The sequence below is a fragment of the Homo sapiens genome, chromosome 4, assembly GCF_000001405.40.
Source record: "Homo sapiens chromosome 4, GRCh38.p14 Primary Assembly".
Classification (NCBI taxonomy): Eukaryota; Metazoa; Chordata; class Mammalia; order Primates; family Hominidae; genus Homo; species Homo sapiens.
In genome coordinates, this window is record NC_000004.12 from 21,559,262 (window position 1) to 21,577,095 (window position 17,834).

The 17,834-nt window shown below is 36.3% G+C and overlaps 1 protein-coding gene across 5 annotated transcripts in view, besides 1 other annotated feature; it reads right to left on the minus strand.

Annotated features, from left to right (window-relative positions):
- KCNIP4 (potassium voltage-gated channel interacting protein 4) overlaps window positions 1-17,834 on the minus strand; it is a 1,220,167-nt gene that overhangs the window by 830,656 nt on the left and 371,677 nt on the right. The gene's annotated exons all lie outside the window — the stretch shown is intronic.
- Window positions 14,721-14,890: an enhancer, noted in NCBI's record as "experimental_77794 CRE fragment used in MPRA reporter constructs". NCBI's record gives its function as "activates a minimal promoter by MPRAs in K562 erythroleukemia cells, with activity observed for the introgressed 4:21575690 variant allele {active_cell/tissue: K562}" and the evidence as "EXISTENCE:reporter gene assay evidence [ECO:0000049][PMID:34662402]".

Here is a 17,834-nt window from a genome sequence, read left to right on the forward strand (position 1 = left end):
GCTAGAGTGGAACTTGAGGTTCATTTAATCCAAGTCTTACAATTTGAATGAGGACACTGAGTCACAAAGTGGAAACAGTTTCAAAGTGCTTTTATTCATTCGATGATATATTGTAGACCCCCCATTTGTCAAGCTCTGTGGTAGGTACTGGCAAATGAAAGTATAAGCATTCACCATATATGCATTCACCATGTATGTATTCATACCCAGACCCATTCAAGGACTAATTGATGGCATCTGTCCCTTAAGGAGTTCGGAGTATACAGAAGGACACACATGGTGAATTTTGTGCTATAACAGAGGGCTCAACAGGTTGCTGATGGAAGAACAGAAGACACCATGACTCTGCCAGGAAAGCCACTTCAGAGAAAAGGTGGTAACTTATGGGGTCTTGAAGGAAGAAAATGATTAATGTCAACCATACAGACCTTCTAGACTATGCAGAGAAAGTATCAACCATATTTTACTAATGAGAAAACCAAGAATTTGAAAAAATGTATTATTAGTCGATGGTTCCATGATATTTTAGGGGCAGAAATGGAACTAAAACTCAGGGCTTATCATCTGTATCTCTTACTACTTCTATTCTTTCTCCCATTCTCTCACATGAATAATATCTAAGTTTGCAGAAAGAAATTAGTTCAGCAGTTTAATTACACTGTGGATAACTTTTAATTTATTCATTTCTCATGGAATTATTTCCTCTTGCTTGATTTATGCCCTTACTTGATCTATTTCATTTTACTTTGATTTTCCCCTTTGTAATCAGATGATGCATCTTTGATAATATTTCATTCTCTTTCTGTATATAGCCATTTGTTTTTCTCCCCCTGGAGAACTAATTCATATATATTCTAAAAATAAGCAAATAGTGTAAATGCAAATGGGCTTCAAATGATACTTTACAAGCGCCTAAATTGAACTTTGTTTCACTTGTATCCTGATGCAAAATGTTCCTAACTTTAAGATCATCTCCCATAGGGCCATTCCAATTGTAAAATGAACTCTGCATCTGATTTTCAGATTATTGGATCTACATATTTACCATAACTCTGATTAAAGGCCTTTGAAGCAAATGGACCATAGCTGTTTTTGCAATTGAGCCTTATTAAAATTTAAAGTGTATCCGTAAACATGTAAGTGCCTATTATAGATCAAAGTTCAGAAAATTAAATATTCACAAATACAGCTCATTTTACAAAAACTACAGACTTGAAATTATCTAAGCCAAATAATCTTAGCACTTACCACAAAATAGCCTTAGTTATTTCAGCAGCAAGATTTTATTTATGTTAAGCAACTTTTTGTGACTTGAGCAAAGGTTTTATTTTACCTGGAAAACTCAGCATATATAGCTCTTACTCATGGAACACTGTTGTAATATTAAGATATAAAAATGATAAAGTACCACCTCACATTATATCATTTAATGCATCAGCAATGAAACCATTTGGGGTTTATTTATTTTGCTGATTGACTTGATTCCCTTCCTTTGGAGAGGTTAATAAAGTTGGGCATATTTCATGATTATTCAAATAAGATAGCAAACTTTAATTTCTGTAACCCTCTAGGAGGGTTCAGCCAACAAGTACAATACTGTGTGCTGTTTTAGGATGTTTAGATTGGTGCCTCCACAAATGAAAAATGAGGCCTTGTATTTGTTGATAGCAAGTAGATTGTACTGCAGAATTAAAAGGAAAGAAATCAATGCTGCCAAAATAAAACAATACAATTAGAACCACATTTTGACTTGTCTCAGAAACATTTTTTGGTATTAAAGTTATTGGGCTATTAAATTGCGTGGGGAAAAATAATAGAGCTCATTACATGGAGTGTTCTGCTTTGCCACAGCTGGAGTCTGGATTGCACACTTTAATATTACTTACATGTACTGGAGCAAGCTGAAGAAATACAGATTATTAAGAAATAACCTTTTCCATTAGGGGAGCTTCAAAGTCCTCAGGACCTTTTGGGGGTATTAGTGGGAATATAAAGAAGAATGAAGTATCTTTTTGCCACGCATTTTCCAATGTGAACAATAAAATCTATTAAAAAGTTTGTTTCTGTTTCAATATATTTCCCTGATAGAAAGAAAAGAAAGAGGGAGTTTAAGGGAGAACCGATTAAAGACTAAAAATAGAAGGGATGGAACTACAATTTCCTTAGATAGCATTGAGACAGACAACTCTGTTTGATCATTTAAGGCCAAAGATTAAATGGTAACTCAGAAATTTTTAATTATTTCCCTCAACAATAATTTCAGAAACAACTCATAGGACTTGTCTTTTTACTTGTGGCCATTTAAATGATGGTGGGCAGCAGCAGTTCTATTGTTTTTCCTTATTTTGGGGAGTGGACCGGTTTTATGCATACTGTCTTCCACTAAAAAAATCAGACAAAAAAGTTAAAAAAAGCTGTTAAGGCAATTAAATTACTTACCATCTTTACTAAGGAAAGAATGATAGATGCATGGTAATTGAGGATTTACCTAGTTGCTAGGGATGGCAGTAAGAGTTTCACATACATTACATCCTTTAATCGTTCATAAATCACTTATTTTTTGGATAACAGAACCTATCCTTGCTTTTTGGAAAATCACATTGCCTTCCACATTGTTCATTTATGAGAAGGACCCTGTGCCCTGGCTCAAAAGGTAAACGTATGACCCAGATCTGGTTAATGAAAACACTGTGGCAATAAGGACAGACAATTAGGATGTGATTATAGCTTGGTCAGGGTATAGAATTCTGGGACTTTTCCTGAAACTATCCAATTTTGAGAAAAATCCTCTGGTCATCTACTGTGGATCTACAAGTAGCAAAATCTTTCTCTTCCTTTCTGTCTCTCCATTTGCCTTCTTCTGCCCTTTTTAGACATTCTAGTAACTAGCTCACTCACCATGAAAACAACTATGAAAGAGTCATTTTTGAATACAAAACAAATAAACCAAAGGTTTAATTTAAAAAAAAAATTGCTGAACCCTGGGATACATAAGACTGCCAAAATACTTATTAAAACATATAAGCAATTCTAAAGGAGTCAGAATGAATGCTTAGAGTTTAAGTGACTATCATCAACATTTAATTTACCGAGGTGGATGTGCCATTGACCACTGATATTAAAGAGCCATTACCAAGAATGCACATATGAGCACATTACATCTAAATGGTCCCTTCACCTCTTTCTGGATAGCTTGTGGGAATCACTTTTAACTATGCTAATTGTTTATGCCGAGTAAACATTCATGCTTAAATGCCTCCAACAAAATAACATGTAACATTTGGGAATTTCGTGGTAACTTGATGACTTTTATTATCAGAACCAAATAAAGAACACATGTTTATTGCATATTAAATAGAAATGAGGAAAATTTCTTAACCAAAACAAAAACTTTTTTTAAAAACTGTAGTAAACTGCATATTTTCTAGAAGGCCAACAACAAAAGCAAACCTCTCTTTAATAAGTATTTTATGTTATAAAATTGGAAAATTTGTCCACACGCAGGGATTTAAAATTGAGTTATCAAATTCCAGATTTTAAACTAAATATGAAAAAGTGTTGTGACCTAAAAATTATTTCAAGCTTAAGATACCAAAGTGAACAAAAATACTTTCACATTTATATTCCACCTCTCAACACTCGCGTAAATACACAGAACCCAAAATATCTTTTGCAATTATCTTAATTACTGTTACCTTTGATTTATCTTACAAGGGTAATGCATTTAAAATTGTAATTTCTCATTAATGTCAGTTAGGTTTTAAAGGATTTTAAAAACATTACTTCTCTGTTGGTTGGTCTGATGTTTTAAATATGTTTGATTCAAATAATACAGATGTTATAACTAAAGGATCAGTTTCCATAGGGCCATAATTTTGCAATGCTAATAACTACTAGATTTTTTTTAAAGATAGGTATTTCCCACAAGCACATTTGTATATATTGGCAGAAGGAATGGATATGTTAAAAAATGATTCAAACACAAATGGTTTCCTTCAACTTAATGTTTTAAACTTTCTGTGTGTTTGAAGCATTTCTCCAAAAACATGATGATGGAACATGCATTGGAAGAAGAATCAGAAAAGTCAAATTTTTACATAAAGTCTGTTAACTCCTTTGCTGTGTGAATATTGACACATTGCTTAACATTGCTTAATCTTTCTGTGTGTTACTATATTCAAATTGGGAATTGCATTACTTGCATTACATATCTTTCCACAATTTATATGAAAATCAAATGGGATAACAGATATGATAGGCAACGAAAATTCCAAAATGCTAAATTAATGAATGGGTGCTCTGTTCATCACTTACCAATCTAATATTTAATGAGCTACTACTCAATATATAGATAATTTAGAAAAAGTACTCAAATATGACAGTAGGAGAGACACATAAAATATGTTAAGTCCTATAAGAAAGGTTTAGTTCAAATGCTAAGAGAATTCAGAGACAGGGAAAGATAATTTTGACTGAGAGAGAGGACTAGGAGGGAAAGTAGAAGTGACGCTATTTGAACTGGGTCTTGGGAAACACTAGGACCTGGATCTCAGATGAGAAAACATGTTTTAAGTAGGGGAGGAGATAATGGATTTGAAGGTTTAGGGTTATCTATTGCCTGTTTTGAGTGCATGATATAATGCATTTCACTTCTTCAGTTAACTAAAAGAATCACGTAAATTGTTTAAAAGGAGTAGAAGATCTTGAATAATCATATACCTTTTTACTAAGCAATTAATATATCTAAGACATTGTTTTTATCTACTATCTCAGTGTTGTGATATGAGTATTATTGCTATTATATCCATTGATAGATTAGAAAATTGAAATTACAACAAAAATTACTTGACTCCAAAACCACGGATCTCCCCTACATCCTGCTCTATTATTCTCTTGTAAAATAGATTGTGGTTCTTTTTATTTCTGTAACTTAAAACATTTTTCCATTGATGTCATTCTTTCAACTACACGTTGAGTGCAAAGATGAGGTGCTTGCTCTCAAATGGGAAGTAGGAAGTTGAACAGAGTTGTCCTTCTTCCATGGATTTAATGAGGAATTAAGATTCAGAAATGAGCTCTCATGTGCACCTATCCAGCCCTCCAACACCCACTCCTCAATGGACTAAATATTTAACCTAGGTGGAAAAGAACTCACACATTGGAGGAGGACTAACATGTGACTTCCTTTGCACATGACCCAGGATCATAAGTGGGGGACCTTCTATTTGCTCTTTACATTCAGTCTTCTGCTCATTGTCACATATGCCCATGATCTTAAAAGCAAGCCACTAGAGTGTGTTTCTAAGAGCATAGCTATAATTCAGATAAATGTGGAGAAAATTTGTAATTCCGTGTCTTAGTCTGTTTAGTGTTACTATGAAGAGATACCTGAGGCTGGGTAATGTATAAAGAAAAGTTAATTTGGCTCACCCTCCCACAGGCTGTAAAAGAAGCACAGCACCAGCATCTGCTTATGGTGAGGGCTTCAGGATGCTTCCACTCATGGTGGAAGGGAAAAAGGAGCTAGTGTGTGCAGAGGTGACGCAGTGAGAGAGGAAGCAAGAGAGAGAGTGGAGATGCCAGGTTCTGTTTTAACAAATAGCTCTTAAGGGAACTAGCAGAGGGAGAACTCCCTCATTACCACAAGGACAACACCAAGCTTTTCAGGAGGGATCTAACCCCCTTGAGTCAAACATCTCCCCCAATTAGGCCACACTTCTAACAGTGAGGATCAAATTTCAACATGAGGTTTGGGTTGGGGGCTAATATGCAAACCATAGCTTTCCCTTACTAGCAGAGTGACCCAAGGCAAGTTGCATACAATGGAGATAAAAATCCTGTGTTAATCAGCTTGGGCTACCATAACAAAATACCATAGACCTGTTGGATCAAACAGCAGACATTGGTTTCTCACAGTTTCAGAGGCTGAGTAGTCTAAGACCAAGGGGCTGGCTAATGCCATTCTGCGTCAGGGCCCTCTTCCTGGCTTGCAGATGGCCGCTTTCTTATTATATCTTCACATGGTAGAGAAAAAGTGATCTCTGGTCTCCCTTCTTTTACTTTCGAAAGTGCTAATCTCATCATGGGAGCCCTACCTTCATGATTTCACCCAAATCTAATTACCTCCAAGGAGCCCCACCTGTAAAAATGATCACATTGGGTGTTAAGGCTTCAACATACAAATTTTGAGACACAATTCAGTCCATGGCAAATACTGTAGGGTAGTTTCAAACTTTCATAAACATAAATATGTGAACTATTTAGCCTCAAACCTGGCATATAGGTACATTGAAATGGCAACTATTTGTGTCATACGGCTATTCATGTTTTACATCCACATAGTACCATCTCCTACAACATTCACCTAAAGCAACTGATTGGCAATGACATTCATTACAGATTTATAGCTATTCAATAATCATTTACAGAATACTCTGTGTCTGGCACTGTGTTGGGTGAGGAGAGGAGAAAGTATATAAAAAGTTGAGTAATTTAAAGCTCTTATTTTTGAAAAACTCATAGAAAAATGAGGAGTGCAGAGAGCTCTAAAGAGATTGCTGAAATATAAAATGGGATTAGACCATGGGGAAAACTGGTGACTGATTCTGCCAGACCAAATCAAAGAAAGCTTTAAAGAGAAGTGATGTTTCAAGCAGCTCTGGATATCCAAGTAGAATTTATCTGCCAGATAGCACAAAAAAAGAAGGATGCTCTAAGTAGAAACAATAGTATCTGATAAGCAGGGAAGCATGAGCAAGCAAAGAACTGTAGGGAAACTAATGGGAGACAGGAATTGTTGGAGCAACAGTCACATACAGGAACAGGTAAAGAAACACAGTCAATGTCACTGAGAACTGGATTGTGAGATCCCTCTGATTCCACAATCAAGAGACAGGGCGGAGCCGAAAGTATTTTTAATTTAATGTTGGCAATAGTGTGAAGAATGAGTTGGTCTGGGATGAGACAGGTGGCAAGAGGCCAGTCAGGACACCAGTGTCACAGTCTCTAGACAACAGGTGAATAGACCTATTGATATGGTTTGGATTTGTATCCCTACCCAAATCTCATGTCAAATTGTAATTCCCAGTGTTGGAAGAGGGGCCTATTGGGAAGTGATTAGATCATGGGAGTGGGCTTCCCCCTTGCTATTCTTGTGCGGTGAGTGAGTTCTCAGGAGATCTGGTTGTTTAAAAGTTTATAGCACCTCCCCCTTCGCTCTCTTCCTCCTGCTCCACCCATGTAAGACATGTCTGCTTCCCCATTCGCCATCCACCATGATTGTAAGTTTCCTGAGTCCTCCCCAGCCAAGCTTCCTGTACAGTTTATGGAACTGTCAGCCAATTAAACCTTCTTTCTTTATAAATTACCCAGTATCAGATAGTTCTTCATATCAATGTGAGAACAGACTAATACACTTATACAAGGCAGTAGAGGTAGAAAGGAAGAGACAATACTTAGAGACATTTGGGAGTAAGAAGACTTAGAGCTTCCATTTCAGGTGGATTGAGAGATTTACTCCTGATGAGAGGTCAAAGGATTCCTATTGAACCAGACATCAGTTGCTGGGGAACAGTCATATGTGACTGCAACATCAAGGAACCCACAAATGCAGCCTCGCACACATACAGGACATAAAGCCAAACTGCAAAAGGTAACACATCAAAATACCTCTATATTGTGTAATGCCAGATTTGTGTAAATCAGAAAAGAACTGCCAGGCTCACCAACAACCTCATTTATATTACGGTAACTATCAATACCGAAAACTGTTATTTCCTATTATATTTTTAAAAAGTCAAATTAATAAACTTCAATTATGAACAACCAGCATTTATTAATTATCTCCTATAATCACTATGACAAAGATAGTTAATTCCCTGCCCGGTATATATGCTTGCTTCTACTTTAAGAACAAATCCACAATTTTATTAAGATTAGCAAGTACCCAATTTAATAAATATATATGTGTAGATCTATATATTATATAGATATGTGTACATTTGTGTATATATACACATACCTATATTTTTTCCTTCTCTCATGAAGCTAGGGGTGGCCAATGAGATATGAATGGAAGCCACTGGCTGATGTATCTGAGGACCTCTTTATAGGGGTCTAGACTTATATGGAAGGGGGCCCATTGTCCTCCCTGCCACCCCCTCTTTCTTGCTTCTTGGATGAATTTGTAAAGGCCAGAACTCATGAATAGACACAAGCACCAATCTTAGTAGAATAAAACAAAACAAAACAAAAAACCTTAGTATACATAATAAAAATTTAACACTAAGTTGTATCAGCTAACACTATTTGGATTTTCTGATGTGTACAATGCAACCTAATTAACATGTCATATAGCCAGCATCATGCTTAGAGCCAGGGAAAGCAAAGATAACTAAAATACATAAACCATCTGAAATACCACAGGATAGGGAATATAACTTTAAAAACAATACCTTTCCATTCCCCACCCAAATAGTCTAATATAAACTGAAAACTGGATGAGGATGGAAGTTACTTTGTAGTCACGACAATATTGAGTATCCTGAGGAATCAGTTCTCTATCAAGTAGCGTGAGTGATAACTCATACCTCATCTCAAAGCTTAACATTTTTCTAGGTACCAGTGGGGCAGAAACACATGATTCCTAGTCCCAAACAGTTCACAACGCAGAAGGGGAGCCAGAACAGTACTTGATAATAAGTAGCATATATTTATGGCCATAGTCAGCGCTGCTATGTAGTTTTTAATTCAACAAATATTCCCCATGATAACTTGCCCTGAGGGAGAGAGTCATGAGTGTGCAACAATATTGCCCTGTTTTCAAAACTAGGTTTTGAGGGGGAGGATAAATAGAATTCAAATCGTATTATAATATGGTAGACTTGTGTGAACTTAATAAGTGACAATCCTGGTGGACCCCAAATTCATGTGTTGAGTTTCTAATCCCTACCACCTCAGAATGTCACCTTATTTGAAAATAAGATCATTGCAAAAGCAATTTCTAGTTATGATGAGGTCATAGTGGAGTAAAGTGGGCCCCTAAACCAATATGACTGATGTCCTTATGAAAAGGAGATATTTGGACATAGACATATACACAGGGACAAGGCTGTGTGAACCTGATGGTTGATATTGAGTGTCAACTTGATTGAATTGAAGGATGCACAGTATTGTTCCTGTGTGTATCTGTAAGGGTGTTGCCAGAGGAGATTCACATTTGAGTCAGTGGGCTGGGAGATGCAGACCCACCCTCAATCTGGGTGGGCACCATCTAATCAGCTGCCAGCATAAAAGCAGGCATGGAAAGAGCAGACTTGCTGAGTCTTCCAGCCACCATCTTTCTCCTGTGCTGGATGCTTCCTAAGTTCAAACATCAGACTCTAAGTTCTTCAGCTGTTGGACTCTTGGACTTACCCCAGTGCTTTGCCAGGGGCTCTCTGTGGCCTTTGGCCACAGACTGAAGACTGCACTATGGGCTTCCCAACTTTTGAGTTGTTGGGATTCGGACTGGCTTCCTGGCTCCTCAGCTTGCAGACAGCCTTTTGTGGCACTTCACCTTGTGACTGTGTGAGTCAATTCTAATAAAATCCTCTTCATATATTCATCTATCCTGTTAGTTGTGTCCCTTTAGAGAACACTGACTAATACAGTGAAGATGAAGGAAAAACTCTGGGTAATGCTTCTTCTTCATGGCAAGGAATGTCAAAAATGGTCAATAAACCACCAGATACTAGGGAAGAGGCATGGGTAAGATCACTCTCACCGCATTCAGAGCGAATCAACCCTGCTGATGCCTTGATCTCAGATTTTGAGCCTCCAAACCTGTGAGACAATATATTCCTATTGTTTAAGCCACCCACTCAATTAGCAATACTTTGTTCAGGCTGCTCTAACAAACTAAGACAAGCTTTAATGGAGTCTACAAGTTTGTTGAGACATGTTTAAGTCCCATGCACTAGGACACTGATATTCTAAAAAAAAAAAAAAAAAAAAAAAAAAAAAAAGCTTGATTGACAAGTAAACCCAGATTTTGTTGAATATTTCAACATAATAACACTTGAAAGAAAATAATAGAAAAACTTTGCTTCTTGAGGAGGAAACAGCCCTGTTCTAAAACTGCTTACCATGAGTGCTAGTGAAAGAATTATAAAGAAAGTACAGAACTTTAGTAATTTGATAGTAGAATATTATGAATTTGAGGATTCATGACATTCTTGGGATACATTTTAGAAAAACTGAGAAAGGGCTTCCTCACATAGCAAAGGAGGTAAAATTCAAAAATGATATAAAAATAAGCACTATGAGAGGATAAAAGAGAAAAAGAATACATTGTGGGATCAGAAAAGGAGGTGGCATTTGAGAAGAAACTTGAAGGATGTTCTATTAATCAGAGTCTGGTGTTTTAGACAAAGTCTATTTAATACTGACCATTGGTTACTCGGGTGATTAAAGACTGAAGCTTCTGGGGATGTTGATGTAACCCAGAGCTCAACAGCTTTAGGAAGTTGCTACCATTCTTCAGGCCAGCAGGGGAGAAAAAAAGAAAGAATGAACGAATCTGAAAGGAGAAGCTCCCTGCAGTTGGTAGTTGGACCTCTTAGGGAAAAAAAGCCATTGTTTCACACATACTAGACCACTGAGGGGGCCTGGCTGTTTTTTTACACATCTCAGAGGGGCTCTGCTGTGTGTTGGGAGAATGGGGGTGGGCTATGTGGTACTCCCCCCACTCAGGTAAAGTGACATCAGGGCTAGAAGTGTCAAGGAAGTTGGAGGCTGAAGCCATCGTTGTCTGCCTCAAATGGAGAGGGAGACCCAACCTGGAAGTCAGAAAAGAATCCTTCTTCCAACTTCCACCTCCTGTCCACATTTCCTACTGGCAAAATCTACCCAGAGATGGCTGAAAATGGGAGTCTGGAAAATGTAATTTTTGGAACCTTAATCCTAACTTCTCAGAAAAGAGTAGGTGGTGGATAGCGGTAGGACTTGGAACTAATAGCCAACAGGTAAAAGAGGCAGAGATGTAGAGGTTTTAATGTAAAGAAACAGGGTGAAAAGGAGGTATTTCCCGTTTCCTGAAGGCCCTGAGCATTGGTAAAGAGTCTGGAATGGAAAAGGACAGTTTGGTCAATAATGGTGATTCCCTGATGTAGGTCAGAAATGGGTCTAGGTGATAGAAATGTTAACGTGAACAAAATATACAATAGCTGTTTGTAGACTATTTAATTTAACCTTAGCATCAAGCATGTAATATAGGAAGAAGTAGAAAATAAGTCTAAAAAGGGAGGACAGGAGCCTAGAACTGCATTCTGGATAACTTGTGGCATCCATATGGGAGAAGGATATATAACTCAATAAATCATGTTTAATATCAGTGGCTTTTGAAAATGAGTCTGAAGCATGTCAATGGATTAGGAACATTAATTCAGAGGGTTTATAGAATAGATTCACTTTTCCTAATAGTCAAAGTTATTATTTTATCATTTTCATCATTATCATTGTCATCATTATCATAATTACAATGTTTATCCAGTACTCAATATATAGCAGAAATTGAGCACTTTCCTATATCACATCGAACCCTCCAAACAACACTATACAGCAGCTGTTATTTTCCCTATTTTATATGGGAAGTAACTGAAGATCAAATAGAGTACATCTTTTGGTCAAAGTCATATTGGTTCGACGTGGTTGAACCTGGATTCAAACTCAAGTCTGACCCTAGATTTCTTTCTCTTAAGCATTACATGCTTCTCCGTTTGAGAAAAGGACATCTAGACTCACATCTCCTTTCAAAATATTGTCATCCATGAGGTCACCTCAAGACTCAAGTGCCACCTGGCAGCTTGAGCCATTTCTCTAAGTTCTTCGTTCAGTTCATTTATAATCCCCTCTGAGTGTTACTTCTCCGCCTTCTCACTTCTTTAGGTTTGTCACAGTCCTCTGAGATGACAGGCTGAGCAATGGTGATGAGAATTATGGTAATATAAATTCCATAAACAGAAGAGTCTACCAGGAGTGGACACAAAGAAGTTCACAGAGGGCGCATCTGGGTGAGAACAGCCCCAGCTGTTATAGCATATGTGCAAAATAATGATGTGCCTGCACATCCATGCAGACCTGATCCTAGCTGTTTATAAGAAAGGATAGTTAAATGCAGAAATGCAAATCTGTAGGCTGGAGTTGCTCTGTTTCCTAAGTCTTAAGAGTTTGGCTCCTTATCTTACACACAAAAATGCAATAGACAAAACCTCCACATAAATAAGCAGCAGGTGAACTAGCATTTTCTTGCCAAGGTATTATGCAAGTGTTAACTGAGCTGATCAGCAGAAGCACATATCCATCAGTTTCACTGCAGAAAGCAGGAAGAGGAAGGTGAAGATGAGCAGGCAAGTTAAATGAAAACTCATCTGGCTTGCAGAAGAGACACTTATTGCTCAGAGGAGGAAGGTGCCCAGGGGTCATGAGATGTGACAGTACTAACAGAAAATCCTGAGCTTGCAAACTCTGATAAATGTTTAAGATTTAATGGGGAGTGTCCACACAAATGCAAAATGATTTAGAAAAAGGTAAATGATCATAACAATGTTAATAACATCTATCAAGCACTTTGCTGAGTATTTTGCTTACATTAATACCCCATTATCTAATCAAACTCATAGGATATGTATGGCACACTATTTCATTGAAGAAACAGATTCTTAGAGATGTAAAGTAACTTTCCAAAAGTATAGGTATTTTAGATATATATATTATAGACCTAGCAAATAAGATGCAAAAATAGAATTTAAACTTAGAACTGCCTAACTTAGAAATTACTATAACCAAATGCTCTACTTCACATCCTGATTGCTGGGGATTCCATTTGAAATAGCCAGATCATATATAAGTACATATCTGTACACAGAAGTACATCTATTTCTAAAAGAGACTGCTACTTGTCAAATAGTCAGGCAAGTATGTGTTTTGGCTCTGTGATGTGATAGGACCAGTTTTGAATCTCCTATTTTAACAAAATGTGTTGCTTATTTTTGTTATTTTACATCATGGAAACTTAGTTTGTTCAGCCTGAAGAGTTTATGATGGCCTCCTGTATTCTTCCTGTAACGTGTTCAAATTCTAGGGTAAAATAAATTTAAAACACAAACCCAGGATGTGTCCTTTTAAGCTCTTATAAAGGATATCATGTAGATAAGCCAATAAAAACCACAAAACTCCCAATTTGGTCAAAAGGGACCTTACTGTATTAATATATGCATCCTAATTCATGCAGTCACTTAATTTCTCATCATCTTCCTTCTAAACACCATTCCATGCACATTTTATATAGCAACATTGCTGAAAAAAATGCATGGATCCACAAAGATCTCTCATCTTTTTTTTTTTTTTTTGAGACTTGCTTTGCCACCCAGGCTGGAGTGCTATGGCATGACCTCAGCTCACTGCAACCTCTGCCTCCTGAGTTCAAGTGATTCTTGTGCCTCAGCTCCCCCAAGTATCTGGGATTACAGGCATGTGCCACCACACCCAGCTAATTTTTGTATTTTTAGTGAAGATGGGGTTTCTCCATGTTGGCCAGACTGCTCTTTAACTCCTGACCTCAGGTGATCCACTGGCCTCTGGCTCCCAAAGTGCTGGGATTATAGGCGTGAGCCATTCCACCTGGTCTCATCCTTCTTTTCTTGCCTTTGTGGATTCTGTTCTCTCATGATCTTTTCCCTATCTCTTAGTTGTACTACAAGATTCAGTTTGGTCTTCATCTTTTCAGCAAACTTTCCTTGACTTAGGTATTAGTGTCCATCTCAGCTATTCAGAATCATCCCAGGCATGTTATTATTATCACCACTGTTTAGTGGTAAACAGTGGGAATGGTCATAGCATTAGCGGTAGTAGCATTAGTAGCAGCAACAATAATGGAAGAGGTAGTGATACTCATACTTGACCTTAGTGAGTATCTCCAATATGTCAGGCACAGTACCAGGAACTTTAAATGTATGAACTCTAATCCACTAAAACTACATGAATCAGCATGAATTTATTATCCCCACTTTATGACTGAGGGAAACTGAGTTTCTCTTTTATCAGTGGCTGTTTCTCCCTAATTTTCTGTTTTCATGCTCCCCATTTTTCTCTCTTAAGCACCTTAGATATTTCTTTATTTATCTTGTATTTGTGTTCTATTGTTTCTCAGATTTCTAAATCATTGATTTCTAGTTTTACCCTTATTAATTCTGTTCTCGTTCCTTGGGATTTATTTTTTTTCTTTTCTAACAGTTTGAACCTAATTGCTTAATTCACTTAAATTTTCCCATTTTATTAATTCATCTATGTAAGGCCAGTAATTTTCCTCTGAGCAATACCTTAGCTGTGTTCTCTAGTACCTAAATTTATATTTTATCTATTCTGAGACACAACTTTTTAAGGTCATTTCAACTTATGACATATTTTAGAATTAAGAGATATCTTCATCTAGGGGTGAATGATATGCATGTTAGTACACTACGCTCCATTTTGATCAATTTCCAATGATTATCAGCCAGGTTACAGTCCTGACATAGCTGATAACTAATGTTGGAAACTGGATAGACTGGGACATTGTTCCTGTTGGCTTATGTGCCTTATTGATGCTGAAAAGCTAAGTTTAGTTACTGTTTCAAATACCTTTATTTTGTTGATCTAAAATATTCTATGAACACTTTCCAAGAAGATCTACCTTTAAAAATTTCAAAATGGGTGTCAACGGCTTGGAAGAGAATTTGGGAGATAATAGTGGAGCACTCTCCCAACTCAGGCTGCAATACTAATGCACTTAGTGTCACAGTAGGAGAAAAATTCTAACGACTGTAACAGAGTTGAGTCATGGTTTATGGGCAGAAATTTTCTTGTTAATGAACACAAGAGAACCATGCATCTTACAAATGGTGGTGTCTTAGATTAATAAAAAAATTAATATTTGTTTTCTGTAAGTTTATCGTGTACCTGAAATTTACAATTTCATTTTCATTTTCATTTTGACCTATGGGCCTTTGAGCAAGTTTTCAAAATCTCCAGGTGAAACTGGCGTTTTTCTTTTCAGTTTGTTTTTAATTTCCAGCTTTCTTGTATAGAGATCAAAGAGAGTGTTCTATATTTATATATTTAAATAATTTATTGAGGTTTTTGTGGCCTTAATATATGGCAGGTTTAATCAATGTTTCCAAGCTATTTGAATAGAAAAAGATTCCCCTCTTTTGAAGAAACGGAGTCCTTATATACTTACAGGAGATGTTCGGCAGCCTTTTATTTAAATGGGGTGATAAATAAAATAAAATTCTAAAATCATTGCAGAAGGTGAAAAATTAAAGAAGGATCCAGATTTGAAGGAGACTATAGTCTTTAGTAGTCAATAGTGAACCCTCAAATTGAGAGTGTAAGGCAGAGTGTACACTTGAAGAGCTGGATAATATGAACCAAGACTAACAGAAGCTAAAACTAGATTTCAGAGTGAAATCAGAAAGAAAGTATCTTGACAACAAAATAATGTCTTATGCCTAGTCTCTCTACTACTCTTGTTCTCAAGTTTGCCTTATTTCAACATTCCCAGTATTTCTGTCTTTAATTTTTACCATTTTTGAGAATCTGAGAACTATCTGTACTATTATTATCCTGACAACTTTCTCCAAATCTATTTTATACCAATTCACTCTCACTTGTTATGTAGCTTTGCATTTAGTAAAAATATCCATGAACTAATGGAATTATGTAATGTGTATGTCATTATATATGACTGTTTTTAAAAGTTTGTCAACATATTTTCTAGAAGAATCTCACTGATCCTTTGTACAATACTGCATAACTTGTAAACACTTATGCTGACTCCAGCCTCTGTGGGAGAGGAGGTGATCTTGCCCTCAAACTGACTTCAGGGAGGTCAGTCACAAAGGTGACAGCTGGGTAGCCATGGAGTTTAAACTAAGAGTCACTTGAAATAAGTAGAAGTAAGTACATCAGAGGCTAGACAGAACACTTGAATCAAGAGTCCAAGATGATTTGGAGGTTTTGAGATAGGAAAGTTTAGGGCACATCACTTTGATTTTGAATTGAGTTCAATAGTTCCTACATTAGGGGTTGGATTTTCAGGAACATAAGAAGGAAAATGTTTCTGCCTATTATTTCTTATACCTAAGGAACAACTGGGCTATTGAATGAGAATAATGTCCAATACCTTACTGCTGATACTTCCTATTTTTCTCCTTCTCCTTATCTTTTCCTTCCCCTCCCCTTCTTCCTCTTTTCTCTTCCTCCTCTTCCTTTTCTTTCTTTAGCTAACTTCTTAGTAGTTATTTAGATACACGTTTTCTGTTATCTGCATAATTTGTCATCTTCACAAGATTCTACATTCATCTCTGAATTTATTGTACTATACTGAGACTCATTCTCAAATATTTAAATCACATTTTATATTGCAATCTTCGTGTGATAGTTTATAACAAACCAAATTTATTTCAATAGTTAATTATGGAATAGGTAGACAGATGCTGCTTTGATAGTATGAAAAGTATCACAAATTATATTATTTCAAAAGAAAATTATAATTAAATGTCAGCTTCCAACAGTCACATACAAATCTGCATATGATCTGCCAATGCAGACAACCCTTAGAATGGTCTTGAAAATCCCATATTAAAGATGATAGAGTCATCAGATGGAAGGAGCTTGGTCCCCTAAGTCATCACTTGGAAGAGAGCCATTCATTTGCGTATACTTCTTAGGGCTCACAGGTGAGCAAGAAAATAAACTATTTGGTTAAACAACTGAAAATTTTTTTAGTTTGTTGCTCACAGGAGTTGGCCTATTGTGTGAGGCTTAGCAAATATCGGTAGAATGACAGACTGAGTCAATAAGTAAATGCTGCTACTCAACATTTGTTTCTGCCCATAGAAGCCTAAATTTTTTAGTGGTTTGTTTCTTGTCTCCAACTTAAAAACCCTGACATTGGAGATTCTAAGAAATCAACTGATTTAAGACTGCTTCACATAAAGCATCTTTTATGGGGTGAAAACCAAGAAGCATAAAAGCCCACTGCTCTGCTATATGACAGTTCCCGTAGGTATAACATAAACCAAGGTCACGTCGGCACTAAGCCAGAGCACAGTATTTTGCATTTTCTGCTAATGCCGAAAAACACATTTAAATATCCTGTTACTGAAAAAAAATCTAAATTTTCTTTGAAAATTTTGGATACCAAAGTAGAAACATTAGACCTCGCTTGCATACTGACTAAAAATCAATGCCCTAAAATTGCTGAGTGCACTCAGAATTATTTGATATGCTGTCCAAACTTGTTTATGAAAATATATTTTGGATGTGAGGTATAAGTCCCCGATTACTCATTTATCCAAATTGCTAAATGTTTAGAAGACTTCAAAGTAATTTAAATTATTCCTTTTATTGATTTATTACTTTCTTTAATATTCATAATAACTTTTGCTCTTAACCCTGACCTCATAACATTTGAAGTGCTATGATAATAATTATCTTATATTAATATGCTAATTTCTTCAAACAGTACATTCAACTGAAACTTCTTAAGGTTTTAACCACTGTAGACTTAATTAGGTTAATTAAAATACTATTCTATTTTATTTTTACTTTGTGATTGCTCCATTATCATATAATGACACTCATAATAGTAATAGAATTTATTATTTATTGAGCATATCTTTTCTTCCTAAAACATTAGTTTTATGATTAACTTCATAAAAAAATTAAATAGGTGCATACCCTGTGTGGTTTTACCTATTCTTTTTTAGTTTAATAAATACCACCCCATAAATGAATACCAACTTATCTTCCAG